The sequence below is a fragment of the Homo sapiens genome, chromosome 10 (genome assembly GCF_000001405.40).
Source record: "Homo sapiens chromosome 10, GRCh38.p14 Primary Assembly".
NCBI classification, from domain to species: Eukaryota; Metazoa; Chordata; class Mammalia; order Primates; family Hominidae; genus Homo; species Homo sapiens.
In genome coordinates, this window is record NC_000010.11 from 13585951 (window position 1) to 13601074 (window position 15124).

The 15124-nt window shown below is 38.9% G+C and overlaps 1 protein-coding gene and 1 pseudogene across 62 annotated transcripts in view, besides 2 other annotated features; one reads left to right on the forward strand and one right to left on the reverse strand.

Annotated features, from left to right (window-relative positions):
• Positions 970-1309: an enhancer, noted in NCBI's record as "active region_3055". NCBI's record gives its function as "activates an Ori minimal core promoter by ATAC-STARR-seq in GM12878 lymphoblastoid cells {active_cell/tissue: GM12878}" and the evidence as "EXISTENCE:reporter gene assay evidence [ECO:0000049][PMID:35858748]".
• PRPF18 (pre-mRNA processing factor 18) overlaps positions 1015-15124 on the forward strand; it is a 68965-nt gene continuing 54855 nt past the window's right edge. For 51 of the 62 annotated variants that reach the window (NR_172905.1, NR_172906.1, NR_172904.1 and 48 more), the window contains exons 1-3: positions 1015-1202; positions 11508-11585; positions 14294-14398. Coding sequence is in view for 59 of the 62 variants with exons in the window: in XM_047425923.1 (XP_047281879.1) it covers positions 1137-1202; positions 11508-11585; positions 14294-14398 (249 nt within the window). In the remaining 3 variants the exon portion in view is untranslated. Of the gene's footprint in view, positions 1234-5817; positions 5939-11507; positions 11586-11694; positions 11722-14293; positions 14399-15124 lie in introns of those variants that run through there. The other 11 variants (NM_001395878.1, NM_001395887.1, NM_001395882.1 and 8 more) reach the window with 7 other exon arrangements.
• Positions 1485-2080: an enhancer, noted in NCBI's record as "H3K4me1 hESC enhancer chr10:13629435-13630030 (GRCh37/hg19 assembly coordinates)". NCBI's record gives its function as "activates a minimal SCP1, AML or CMV promoter by ChIP-STARR-seq in primed H9 embryonic stem cells {active_cell/tissue: H9 hESC(primed)}" and the evidence as "EXISTENCE:reporter gene assay evidence [ECO:0000049][PMID:30033119]".
• On the reverse strand, positions 5470-6392 carry RPL6P24 (ribosomal protein L6 pseudogene 24; annotated as a pseudogene).

The following is a 15124-nucleotide window of genomic DNA, read 5'->3' on the forward strand; positions in this document are numbered from 1 at the left end:
GGTCTTGAACTCCTGACCTCAGGTGATCTGTCCACCTCGGCCTCCCAAAGTTCTGGGATTACAGGGGTGAGCCACCCCGTCTGGCCTCAGATATCTTTTAGATGAAGTATCACCCCCCACAAAAGACTTTCTAAATTGAAATAATTCAATTGTTCATTTTTTTGTTTTGTAAAGCATTTTACCCATTATCAGCTGACTCAACAAAATGATATTTCTTACCTTTTTTGAGTAAGAAAAACGAAATGTCAAATATTGTTCAATTATGATTTCACAAAAACAATTTTTAAACGTGCTTCAATGACATGAAAAAAATAAGTCCACTGTAAACAAATGTTAGGGACTTAAAAAATCTCTGACATAATTTTTCTCTTCAATTTAACTTTTTTTCCCTTGGGTTGGATTTAAAAAAAAAAAAGGAATTTCTGATTACATCTCCAATCATGTCACTGAAAAATCTTGATTGCTGAACACATGACCAAAAAATGATTAGTTAGCTTGAGGTAAATGTTCAATTATCACCAAGATTGGTAAGCAATCTAAAACAGAGGGAGTGAAGATAAATTGACTTCCAAACTGCTTTAAATGGTTGTAGTCGTTTAAGTTCACAGGAAATTTAACAGGCTAGTAATGAACAGACAGCCCTTTCACTCTATTGTTACAAGTTAGTATTATTGTTTAGATTTTTCTCATCCTTTTGCAAATTTTGCAAGCAAGTAACTTCAGAAACCCTAATGTAAATTTCCAGTTAATAAAGATCTTGATTTAACTGGCATTATTGAGGTGTTCTTCGAGAGGCTTTTGGAACTCAACTAGCAGGTGCAGAGAGTACTACAAAGACCCGGGTTTCCGTCCACGTTCACGTAAACCTCCCTACGAGGGGAAACTACAGGCGCGCTGCCGGAGGGCGCCGCCAGTGGGCACTCACGCACAGCTGCTTTGGCCACCACAGGCGCCCCGGGCCACTCTCTTCCCTCATCTCTCTCATCCCAGCTTCCGCCGGAAGCGGCTCCTGTCAGTTGTTCTCAGGTGTTTGGGCTTGTTGTTCCGTATACTCAGTGGGTTCGCGGCCGCCGGCCCAGTGAGGCTGGGTTCGAGGAGCTGGAGCGGGAAACTGGAGCTTAAATTCTGGCGGCGAGATGGACATTCTGAAATCAGAGATCCTTCGGAAGCGGCAGCTGGTGGAGGACAGGAACCTGCTGGTGGTGAGGACCCTGCGGTCGTGGGGGTCGGGATGTAAGAGTGAGAGTATGTGTGTCGGGGTTTTGGGGTGAGGGTGACGATACTCAGAGGATTCGGGGCGGGGACGGGGCTTAGCGAGTGTCCTGCCACTACCCCTGGTAGGCCCCCTTAGATCCAACCCTTGGCGTCTCACTGTTGAGGCTGGAGAATAGGGTCTGAGAGCAGGGAACTTGAGTACAATTCGTGCTGACTTCCCAAAGCTGGATCAAAAGGAAAACACCTGGGTCTGGGGGCGGGAACCTGAGGCCAATTAACGCCCACGTCCAAAAGCCAAACCAAAAGAAAAATCCTCATCTTCCCACCACCGAGTAGCAAAGGCTTCAGGCTGCGGCTCTCCCCGCATCCCTGCCTTTCCACCACCTCTCAGATGGGAAGGGAACGTGCCCTGCATTGGCCGTGGGCCAATCACGGGCCATCCCTTCATCTGCATAGGGCGCCAGTTCACCTCAGTCTTTAGCCACAGACCGAACCCTTCATCCAGATACGGGGTAGCTGATAGGGACCTCAGAAGGAGTACCTAAAACCCGGAAAACTTTGTAACCGGGGCCTCGAGCCGCTTGCTCGGGCCCACTCACACCCTGTGGAGTGCTTTCTCGCGTTCATAAGTCCCTACTTTTGCTGCTTCATTCCTGTGTTTTGTTACTTTTTTTGTGCGTTTTGTCCAATTCTTTGTTCAAAACGCCAAGGACCCGGGCAACTTACACTCACGGCCTTCTTTCCGGTAACCACTTGGGAGCCTTAGGGATGCAGGTGTGGGAATTGCAGGAAAACCCGAGGCTTTGTTTGTTTTCCCCCGACTGACCCTGTTTCCCTCCAGTTTACCTAACTGCCCCCTATCCCCGCTCCTACCTGTTGGCATTCTGCGGACGTGCCCCAGTGCTCCTGAGAGTTCCCTTCTGTCGCCTTACGAAGGGTTTGTGCCCAACTGAAACATGGAGGAAGGGCCGCCGGGCGCGGTGGCTCACACCTGTAATCCCCACACTTTGGTGGGCAGATCACCTGAGGTCAGGAGTTCGAGACCAGCCTGGCAAACATGGTGAAACCCCGTCTCTACTAAAAACACCAAAATTAGCTGGGCGTGGTGGTGCGCGCCTGTAATCCCAGCTACTCAGGAGGCTGAGGCCAGAGAATCACTTGAACCCGGGAGGCGGAGGTTGCCGTGAGCCGACATCGCACCACTGCACTCCTGCCTGGGCGACAGAGTGAGACACCGTCTCAAAAAAAAAAAAAAATTCCTTCTAGCCAGGTGTGGTGGTGCGCGCGTCTAGTCCCGGCTGCTTGGGAGACCAAGGCGGGAGGATCGCTTGAGCCCAGGAGTTCAGGCTGCAGTGAGCTATCATCGTGCCACTGCACTCCAGCCTGGGTGAGAGACCGAGTCCCTGTCTCTAAAAAAAAAAAAAAAAAAGTAATAAAATTCCTTTCTAATAGTAAATCCCAATTTTTTAAATTCTATTCCTCCTCCTTCTCTCTTCTTCAACACATGAAAAGTCTGTAGGCCTGCTCTTCACTGATGGGAATGCTAAGACTCTTTTGGAAAGGTACTAAAAAGGGGGAGAAAGAATTACATGATTTAGGAACTTCCTGAAGATGATCTCCCTTACTTTATTGTGTAGCAGTAACTTAGACCGCTGGTTCTCAAAGCTTTTGGTCTCAGGACCCCTTCACACTCTTAAAAGTTACTGAAGATCTTGAAGGACTTTTGTTTATGTGTTATTTCTATCCGTATTTACCATATTAGAAGTTAAAACTGAGAAACGTTAAAAATACTCACTGATCGATCATTTGGAAAACATTGGGTTACTGAATTATGCAGGTCTCCCACCTGTTGACACATTTCATTACAAAATATGAAAAGATCACTTCATTTAATATCCACTGATCTGAGAAACATCTGTAAGCATTAGGAAACTGTCAGGCTCCTGATGACAGATCTAAGTTCACCACACTTAATTTCCACTTGGAAGCTGGAATTTTATCATAGGCAACAAATATTATCAGTTATTTTCTTGAAGTGATCTGCTCACTTTGTTCAGTTTGGGGAAGTTGTCTGCCAAATACCCAAGTCTGAAGAACCATGGTTTGCCGGGTGTTCTTAAGTGTAAAAATGGTATTCCGTGAAAAAGCCAGTTTAGCTTGCAACTCAATTACTTTCCTCCACACAACCAGCAAACTTTAGTATAAATGAGAATTGTTGTATGCATCTTTCCTGTTTTGTCACATAATATTAAAAAGATATGGCCAAAGATCAAGACTTAATAAAAATAGTAATTTTACTCCTTTATCATAAGGAGTAAATTTGTTTAGAGAAACTGGCTCCCTCTGGCTGCAGTGGCAGTTTAGAGTCACTGCCTTGGTTCTTGCTAAGGCTTTAGCAAATTTACCATTGCTTTTCACCTACAGTGCAGATGTCATCAGAGTGAGCAGGCAGATAATGCCTTACTGTAGAAAACACTTTTGACCTCATGAGTCCTCTCAGAGGGTCTACAGGACCCATGGAAATCCGTGCATCACAGAATATCTGACTTAGATATTTGGATGTTGTGTACGATTGATGTATGTGATGTAGTGTAAGTAAGTTAGAGTTCTTAGCTTGGTAAATGGCAAATTTCATGATCATTGAAACTTTAAAAACAATTAGAAAAGTGGAGGTAATAGAATGCTGTTTGGTAGGTATGGGGAAAAGCTTGTTCATATTTGTAAATGTTTTTATGTCTACTGCAGGGACCTTTTGATGAGTGGTTGGGAGTATTTTAAATTTAGGTGTTGGAGTGCATAGTGGATGTTAGGAAGGGCCAGGGTGTTGAAATCTAAGTGCTTTAAAGGGAAAAGTGAATCACAAAATATTCAGCCCACCCTCAAGGTTCACAACATGAATATTTGCATAATCATGTTCTTCGTCATTGAAATGCACCAATCTACAAAAATGATCATTAAAAAAAAAACTTTAGATTCTTCAGGGTCATTTATAATTTATAATATATAAACTTTTCCTGGGTGTCTTTCATTTTTTAATTTGGTAGTTGATTGAATTATCACATAATTCCAGCCAGAAGATAAGATTGATTTTTTCAATCACAGAGCAGTTCAGACCAACAAAGGGCGTACATGAAATGGGAATTAAAATACTGACATTCGGCCGGGCGCGGTGGCTCACGCCTGTAATCCCAGCACTTTGGGAGCCTGGGGTGGGCAGATCACGAGATTGAGACCATCCTGGCTAACACGGTGAAACCCCATCTCTACTGAAAATACAAAAAAAAAAAATATATATATATATATATATTAGCTGGGCATGGTGGCAGGTGCCTGTAGTCCCAGCTACTCAGGAGGCTGAGGCAGGAGAATGGCGTGAACCCGGGAGGCGGGGCTTGCAGTGAGCTGATATTGTGCCACTGCACTGCAGCCTGGGCGACAGAGCGAGACTCCATCTCAAAAAAAAAAAAAAAAAATACTGACATTCATAGTTTATATTAGCAGTAATGTTAGGCATCATGCAATATGTGTTTTCTAACTTGTACAACAAGTTGCCATTGTTCCCATTTACAGATGAGGAAACTGGAAGCTAAGAGAAGTTACATGACTATAGGATTATGCAGCTAGCAAGAGATAGAGCCTGGATTTGAACCCTGGTCTGTTCCTACTTCAGAGCCTGATCTGTTAACCTGTACAGATAGAATGGATATTTATTCACCTTACAAACATAGAACTAGTTTTGATAGGGCTAATGTAACAAAGCACTGGAAAATTATTAGACTAACATGATTTATATTTTTCAAAGTGCTATATGCTATCTGATTTGAGCTTTACAACGGTTAATTAGTGCACAAGGCAATGCTGTTTTCATGGATGATGAAATTGAGGCTTAGAGGGTTACACGATGTTCTCATATTCCTGTGGCCAGCCGGGATAGATCTCAAGTCTTAGACCAACTTGAGGGTGAGTGCTCTTGCATGATGTAAGGGAACATACACAACTAGGCGTCTTTTCTGTTGTATCCATGGGAAGACAGTCTTTAGATCTGCAGCTCTATCATTTCATGCAGAATAGTTGCTTTATATTTTTCATCTTTCTGCATCACAGTGTCTGTCAGTAACTTACAGACTTTTTCACTGCCCCGTTCATAGCAATACATTTTTATATATTGATCTGATATGTATGTGAAAAAAGTTTTATGAAATAATTCTTACAACCACAAATGATTTTATCATGTTTTATTCAGTCCTCCTTTTTTGTTATCAGTTATTTAATTAGGTTCTTCTTAAGAAATGTAGAACACCAATTTGTGAGGATAAATTCCATGAGTCGGGGCAAACACAGATCGCAGGTAGTCCTGGAGCTTAGGAATAGCTTTGATTTTTGGTAAAATTTGTGACTCCACAGCTTTCTGATCAATCTTGTGCTGCTCTGTAATCTTGTATTTATCTTTTTCTGTGCTGAAGATCTCAGCTTCCTGGTGTCTGGGCTTCTGCAGCTGCTGCTGCTTGAATAAGCATCAGTGGGATGTTTTGGGATTTTTACATCGCTGATAACAATTTTGGTTGAGGTGGCAATGACAGATTTCTGGTGTTTTCTTCATAGAGGAACTCGATTGAGGACCAGAGGTCCAGTCACAAGTAACAAGCCACTAGCCAGGTGCTTCAGGAAGACCGCCCTCTTGCCTCTGTGGAATCCAGTGAGGATGATCAGAACGTTCCCCGGGGTAATGCTGGTTCGCAGTTTTCTCACGTGTCAACTGAGGGTTTTTTTTTTTTTTTGCCATGGCTCAACAGCTTTTGAGGCACATCTTCAGTAGGAAAATATCTAGGCATTTTATGAAGTTTAACCACCTGGGTACTACCATTCTTGTCACCACCAACTGGTTTTGTAACAGTTGCAAGAACCTTCTTTTTCTTTTCAACCTCGTACTTAGCGGCTGAGTACTTCCTCTTATACACAGCTTTTCTGGAATACATAGCACATCGGGAATACCTGCCAATTCCTCTGACAAGGACAGGGTTGTGCTGCAATGGGGCTTCCCCTTCTTGGGCTTCTTAGCCTTGAGGTGACCCTTTTTCACCTTGTCACCAGCCTCAGCCTTCTTGGCTTTGGGTTTCTTCTCTTTAGTATCCGGCTTCTCAACTTTTTCACCCACCATCTTACAAGATGGGGAAGAGCAAGTCCCTTTGTTTTAATTTTTTAGAAAACACGGGTCAGGGATCAGTAGATTGTTGTCATTACCGCATCTGTAGCTGGAAAACAGTTGTCTGTGTGGTGTTGCTCTTGCAGAAAGAAGAGCCACCTCATCTTTGGTCATTTCAAGTGGTGTCCCAGCTTTTTGTGGTTAATCTGTGATAGTTGAAATAATCAGTACTTAGCTTGTGAGTGCCTCTTTCTCAAATTGCAGAGAAGTGACTAAGATATCCTCTTACCACCTGTCCTAAAGTGCCCTGCCTGGTGTAACCACCCTGAGGTAAATGTGTCTGCATTGCTAGAACACCAGTGTTTTGGAGCCTAGAATTGGTGAGTTTTCATTTAATGCAAAACCTCGTGTGGAAAACCAGGCTGCTCTAGAAACTCAATGGGGAGTAATTAGTAGTTTTACTAGTTGTAGTTATGAGGATGAGCTATGTGCAGAATTTTAGCTTTTTTTCCTTCCAGTATTTACTGCATCTTTCCTATATGCAAGATACTATGCTGTGCTGCAGTAACAATGCTACAATAATCAAAACAGCATAGCGCTGGCATAAAGAGCAACAGCTAACACCACTAGAGTATAACAGAGCACCCAGAACGGAGCCACCCTTACACAATTATTGATTTTTGACAAATACACTAAAACCAAATGGAAGGAAAGATATTTTCAGTAAATGATGCTGAACAACTGGATATCCATACGGAAATAATAAGCAACAACCCCTACCCCACATTATACAAAACATTCTGAAATGAAGGACCAATGGAAGGAATGGCAGGAACCAACATGGGAGACATTGGAAAATAAAATTAGTAAGGAAAACTGTATACTAGTTCTAATACATTGGAAAATCTAAGTGAAGTAAATGGCTAAAAAGTACAAAAAAATACAAGAAATAGAAAATCTAAGCAAACCAGTAAGTGAGGAAGACATAAGAAGAATCTGTCAGCTAAGAGGAGAAAGTTACTGAAGGAAGGAAGGAATGAGCAGTTAAATCGAAGACTGGATGAGATCAGTCAGAGAAGTCTCTTTGGATTTGTATCTTAGACATTATTTATGACCCCAAGGAGGTTTTTTCAGTGAAACAGAATGGATGTCCACATGCTGTGGGGCTGCAAAGAGAATTGGGGGTAAGGAAGTGGACACGGATTAGATTAAACAGTTTAATGTGGTTCTGCTGTAAATGATACCCAGGGCAGAGTCTTGAGCATACTTAAATTATAATTGTCAAGAGCCAGTAGAGAGGGGAAGGATGAATATGCGAAGGAGAAAACAGCATTGATGGTGAGAAGTCCCTGAGGAATTGAGGTCTGGAGTAATTGGCAAGGGATTTGCCCTAGACAGACAGAGGAGGGTTCTCTGTTTCACTGTGAAATGAAAGGACCAATGAAGATCCAGCTCATGACTGGAGTTGGGAGGAATTTGGAGGAGTTCCTGACTGGTTGCTTCCATAAAATGAGATGGTTTAGTCATCTGCTGAAAATGAGGGGAGAATGAAAGGATGGGAAATTCGTGAGAATGGAGACAGTGGAATGGTCAGTGTAGACAATAGGAAAGAAAATGAAATGGGTAAATACCCCAGGACCAATAGGCAATGTTGAGGCCCCAGTGGTTTTTGCCAGCATTGTTTTGCGCATGCTATAGGCATGGAGAACGCCAAGTGGACTTAAACTTACTGGTCTCAGGTCTCATTCTCAATTATTGATAGACCCAGAGAGCTTTTATTTACATAGGACACATTTATTGATAATTACCGTATTAGAAATTAAAGCCAGGAAATTACAAAATGTATATTCCATGTAGAAATGCAATAATAAACCCATAGTATGCTAACAGATATTTTTATGAAAAGACTATATTTGCGAAAACAAACACTTCAGTGAGAAAAGTGACATTGTTTTAGAAACCTCTGGCATAGTAGTTGGATTCTATTTCTCTCTCCAGTCTGTTGCTGTATGTTGTTTTCAAGTACACGAAGAAAATTCATCCACAGATAAGTAGTTAGAAAAAGGAGTATCTTAATAGCCTTTTCAGATAATTGTGGATATTCTTCTTGATACTACACCAAAACTAGACAATTGGTTTCTTAAAGATCAGTTGCAATGTGGATTCTGAAATCATTTCAATGAACTTTTCATACATTAAAGCCTGTTCTATTTTGCTCTTTGAATGGATCTTTTTACCTAGATGTGATTTTGTAACATCTTGATTTTGTAATGTCATGGTTCAGTGAATTATGCAGATCTTCTTAATGTTGACATTTTTGATTAGATAATATTAAAAAATCTCATTAATATCACCACTGATTTCATTGGAAAAGGCTTCAAGTATTGGGAAGCTATTAAGCTCCTGGTGGTGGGTACAAGTTTTCCACTTTTCCAGTTCTCACTTGACAGCTGGAATTTTATCATCGGTGGTAAATACTATCATTGTTTTCTTTTAGCTTTAAGCTTGTTTTGTTCAGTTCTGAGAAAATGTCTACCAAACACCCAAATCTGACTAATCAAACAATTGCACAAGTGCTTTTCTTTGAGGAAACCATTCTACTTTAGTATGTAACAAAAGTGCTTTATACATTTTATTTTTTCATGCTGATTATTAAAAGGCTGTGTACTCAAAGGTTGAGATTTAGGAAAATTATGCTAATTATACTTCGTCAAGGACATTCTTAAGAGAAACTAGACTTTTTATTTTTTTGTAAGTGCATGTTGGTGAAGAATACAGTTTGAAGGCCTTGCCTTTATTTTTGCTGATGCCAGTAGTCCCCCTTCCCAAATCCTCCCCCCATGTTGCTTTTGGACTGTCAGTGCAAATCTGAGCACAATGAAAACGGGGCACATAATGTCTTAGTATATCATGAAAATAAATTTGACCTTGCAAAACCTCTGAAAGAGCCTCTGTGGACCACATTTTGAGATGTTCTAGGCTTGAGATTTTGTTAGGTGTGTTCAATGGAATTGAGACATGGTCATCAAAGATAACATAGTTAAAAAGATTGGACCATGGCCTCCGGCCTGGAGAGTGTTTTTTCCTTTCTTTCTACACAGCCCTTTCTGAGAGGATACCAATGTGTGTTTGCCAACTTATTTGAAATATGACAATTATATACTACCTAGTCAAAAACAATTTTAGATGCCGAAATAATATTTTGGGAGTGAAGAACTGTAGCTTGGAAGACTAGATCAGAACAAAGGGTTTAAGGACCAGAGTTCTAGTTGCTACTCATCATTCTTCCTGAGTTCTGGGAATGTCACCTAACCTAATTCTCAGCGTTCTCATCTCTAAAAAGGGGTTAATACTATTTGCCCCCACCGTACTCAGGGTAGTTTTGATGTTCAGATGATACCATCGGTTCCTTACCCCAGATAACATCTTCATCTTTATTTCCGTAAAACTGTGCTTGTTGTGTGGTAGATAAGTCTGGAAATGTTTATTGAATTAAGGAATGAACTTTTAGAAAAACCTTATTCTGAAAGTTTTAAACATAATACAAAAATAGATAAAATTTTATGATGAGCCCCTGTATATCCTTCCCCTGAAACATGCAGCTCTAGAAAATGACATGTTCCTTTAAAACCAAAATATGATCACACCCAACAAAATTAAAATTAGTTTGTTAATTTTATCAGATACTCTTCTCACATTCGTATATTTTCCAACTGAATTAAAATATGTACATACATTTGCTTTTACAGTTGGTTTTTCAAGTCAGGTCAACACGAAGTTCAATCCTTGCATTTGCTTATTATGAATCTTGGTTTCTTTTAATGAAGAACGTTGTCATTTTCTCAACTTGGCTGATTTTTTCCATGCCATTGACTTGCTGGAGAAACTGGGGCTAGTTTTGTAAAATGTCTTTGATTTGTGTAATTGCTTCCTGGCATATTGACACTTAGTTAATTCCTCTCTTCCCTACATTTAACAAGGATACTTCGTAGACGATGGCTGGGTAATTCCTGTAGTATAACATAGGTGGTACATAATCTTTTACTGATGTCAAGCTTGATCATTGGGTTCAAATGGTGGCAGGCTCATCTTTCCATTGTCACCATTGGCCTTTTTCATAAGGTTTTAGCATCCATTGATGATCATTGTCTGAGTGAATGAGCTTTGGAACTATGAGGTGCTAAATACTTGTGTGGAGGTAGTACACAGGTAATATTATATCATTACTGTTAATACAGTCGGGGACAGTGTCTTTATTTGAACAAAGCCATCTTTGGAATAATATCCAAGAGGCAGAGCTGCGATGGCAACAAGCCTCCAAATTACGGACTGTAGATGTAACAATAAGGATAATTTTATGTATAATGTGGAAAGGACTGACATCTTTTTAGCCACAGACAAGATTTAGAGCTTGTCTCTTTACATCAAATCATATCACAACAAATACCTTGTGAGAGGATCATTTGAACCCAGGGAGTCGAAGTTGTGGCCTTGATTGTGCCACTCCACTCCAGCCCGCGTGACAGAGAGATACCCTGTCTCCAAAACAAACAGAAAACCAGAAAAACGCACAAAAAACCCCAAATATCCTTAAATCATTTTTTAAATAAAAGAGTTCACCAAGACCACCCTATATGTAGATTATTTTAAGAACTGATTGATATAATAAGGTTCCAGGTAACAAGAAAGAACTTACACTCCTGGAGTTCCCTTGTTATGTGGGATATCAAATGTAGGCTATATATGTCATAATTTTGTTTCTGTTAGGAAAAAATAATTGAGGTATACCATTTTATGTGTTTCATAATGAATCCATTTGAAGAAATTATCATTGAACTCAGACATTAAGAAGTGAAAACATTTGGAAAATATTCTTGGTCTCCTCTTTGCTGATGGACTTGCCTACTGATTGATACTGCAAGAAAAATACTTGAACTTACCACATATCGGTGCCCATAGTCGTAGTGGAGGGTTGTTGATGTGCTTGGGGAATCAATGTATTCATCTCTGGAACCAAAAAATATTTATTTTATCCAATTCTTGAAAAACTGAAGAGTGTTTCCAAAGTTTTCTAAAGGTATTTGTTGACTATGGGACATGAAATTTTGCTCAAGGATATATTATTGACATAATTTATTTTCTTTAATAGGAAAATAAAAAATATTTCAAGCGTAGTGAGCTCGCCAAAAAAGAAGAGGAAGCATATTTTGAAAGATGTGGCTACAAGGTATGAATGTCTGCTTTTATGTTAAATTGTACATTTCTGAGTTTAAATTTATACAGCTGTTGTTAAATGACAATCATTGATCTCTGTTCAATTTATCAATATACGTTAGCCTATAAATGAGAAGCCATCTGGAGAGGTATGAGTTTTTGTTTTTGCATTTTTAAAAAAATCTTGAATTCAGGAAAATACATGCATGACTTTTGGCTTGGAATGGTTTGGCTTTTTGTGGACGGCATGAAGTGGCTTGAGATCAAAGCTTGAATTTTTTTTTTTTTTTAATAAAGTCCTGAATCTGAGACTGCGTTATTTTCAGCTCCACCACCACTCCTCTCCCCCACCTCTCCCAATAAAACAGTCTATTTGGAAAGACTTCAAAACATTTATTCATCCAGCCACAGTAATATTAGTGGTGGTAATTTTCCTGCCTTCTCCGGAATATTTTAAGCCATCGATTTTATGTTTGCATTGTTAATACGTCCTTTTGGGTCCTAAGAACCTCTGCCTAAAGTATAAAGCCGTATATATTTATATGCCTTTGTTGTAATAAGGTATCACATTTCAAACACTGTTTAGTCTGTTGGATAGAAAATGTCATCTTGAAATATTTCTTAGAAACAAATGAGTTGTCTGGAAGGCTTTGCTTGTATATTTTAGAAGAAATTAGTTGATAATGTATTGTGGTTTTATTGGGAGGGGTTAAAGGGTATAAGGTGGAGAAGTTACGTTTAAATTATTTTAAAAGAAGACTATATCTAGCTTAATTTTTAACTCAAAGCTCAGAGGTTCTATTGGAATACTTTTGCCAAATCATAAACTTGTAATTAACCTTTTGCTTGTAAAATATCAATATAAGATAATACTTTTGTGCATGTAATGGGGAAAGTTCTGGAAATGGATTTATCCTGCATAGCATTTTTAGAAGGAAGCATGAGGAATGCACATGGTATGTATATGCATTTGGTTTGATTTTGTAGTGCTGGGAGAAGACAAGTATTAAAGAAAAATGTAGTTTTCAAAAGATACCAAGAAGTGACTTAAAAAAATTTTAAAATGTAATTATATTTCTGATGTTTTTAAAATATGGGAAAGTTTAAACTTGTATTTTGATTTTTTCCATAAAGATATTTGTTTTATTTGCTTAATTAGAAATGAAAATAAGTTTTATGTTAATAACCATTGAGTAGATAGATATTCAGAAAGGAACTCTCATTTTTGCCTTGCCCAGTGTTGTCTAACACACACTTGGTCTGGAATAAGAATCACTTACATAGGTTTACTCTGCTGGCTTGTGGCATTCCCAGATTCTTAAATTTGAACCTTTTCAACTATTTGATAAGGTAGGAAAGTAACTTAATATAGTGGCAGTTTTTGCTTTTGTTTAGTGTGTTTTTTTGTTTTTATAGAGGAAAGCCCTGAAGGAAAGTAATTACTGTAAAGATAATTGTTGATAACTTCGAGTCCAGCTCATGAAATGACTTAGATTTTTTCCCCAGAGCTATTAACTGCCATTATATAATTAAATGTGTTTTTAATCCTGAGATTTTTGGAGAAATATGTTTCCATGCTTAAAAAGTAAAGCACAGGTGTTTCTTTCTAAAGATTTTTAAAGATTTCCTTCTTGGTAGTAATGACATGGTATCCATTCCTTTTATTCTTTTGTAGAAATGAGTTAGCATTTTTTAAGGCTTGGTGCTGATTTGACCTGTGAAAATAGAAAGGCTTAGTTTGTTACCTTAATTTTACCTCAGTATCAATTAGTTACGGTAAACATAAACTTGAACTGTAAGCTATAGAATCATGAATTATGTAATTTTTACCATATAGCCTTTCTTAATGTGAGTTTCTTCCTTAATGTTGATCTTCTTTTATGTTCTTTTGATCTTACTCCTACTTTCAGCATTTTGGATTTATCTTATGGTCAGATGGGAAACCACGTTTCAGTATCTTTTTTATAGACTCCACAAAGGGGCTTGTAAATTGCTGAATTCAGTTTTCTTAAACTGAGACTTGAGCAACAGATTTGAGAAAATATGTGAAGAGATTGTTTTTCCTACAGGTTCATATGAACAAGAATGCCCACTGTTTTCCTGGGTGGCGTTAGTAGACAGGTGCTTTTTTCCTTGTGTTTCTGCAAGGTTGGTAGCTCAGTTTGGACCAACTCTTCGTAGCATTAGGAATTTTTCTGTATGTCCAACATGATTTTCTTACATTTGGAATAATACGTTTTGAAAAGCAGGATAGGAAAAGCTAGAGCTTGAAGTTTCTCAGGTTGCTGTTGGAAAGAAATTCTTTTATCTTCATTTTGAAGCCGAGCAAGAATCAAATAACCCTGCAAGACAATTTAAAGAGGAAGAGCAAGTTGCTGGTTTTTAAGGAAAAAGTACAGTCTTTAGAATCTGGGGAGAAAGAGAGTGCAAATTTCAGCCCTGTTAAATTTGGATTTTGGAAATCGTGGTAGTCGTGTCACTCTTTTATAGCAAGAATGCTGATTCCTCTGTGCATGCTCTGGACTTGTGATGCCCCTGACGTGAATACGTTTGACTCTCTTTTGTAAGCATGTACACTTATTGTGAGCTCTTTGCTCAGAGGAATATTAGAAAATCTTCAGTGTTGAAAACATGTTTAACTTCCATAGCTAAGGTAATGGAATGATAAATATCAACTATATTTTTAAAGCTGAATTTCATTTCTTTTGGCTATTAATATAGATACAGCCAAAAGAGGAGGACCAGAAACCATTAACTTCATCGAATCCAGTGTTAGAACTTGAACTGGCAGAGGAAAAATTACCTATGACGCTTTCTAGGCAAGAGGTAAGTTTATTTGTGATGGTTTCATGAGAATAAGATCTCCACGGTGTTTACATTTATCTCCAGCTTTTCCAATAAGTTAAACGTCATTATTTCCTGCGTAAAATGACTTATCTAAAAATGCTGTGCAGCTAGTTTTCTTCATGAAGTTCTAAATTACTCACTGCTTCTTTTCTTGGTATTATTATCTTAACTTTTTTTAGAGCTTATCCTTCTAAACTTTAAAAAATAAACATGAATATTCAAAAATAAGTATAATTAAATGCTCTTATGCTAAATATTTATACTTAAATTATTTTAATTATTATTTTGTAACATACTTCCCTTTCCCTTATTTAATAATACGTCTTTCCAGATTAAAATATGGAGATCTACATAATTTTGAATGAGTGTATAATTTCCCATTGCTTGTTTGCTCCATAATGTTTCTTTCTTTATTTATTTATTTTGAGACAGAGTCTCACTGTGTCGCCCAGGCTGGAATACAGTGGTGCAGTCTCAGTTCACTGCAATCTCTGCCTCCCGGGTTCAAGCGATTCTCCTGCCTCAGCCTCCTGAGTGGCTGGGATTACAGGCGTGTGCCACCACACCCAGCTAATTTTTTTTTGTATTTTTAGTAGAGATGGGGTTTCATCATGTTGGCCAGGCTGGTCTCAAACTCCTGACCTCAAGTGATCCACCTGTCTCGGCCTTCCAAAGTGCTGGGATTACAGGTGTGAGCCACCGCGC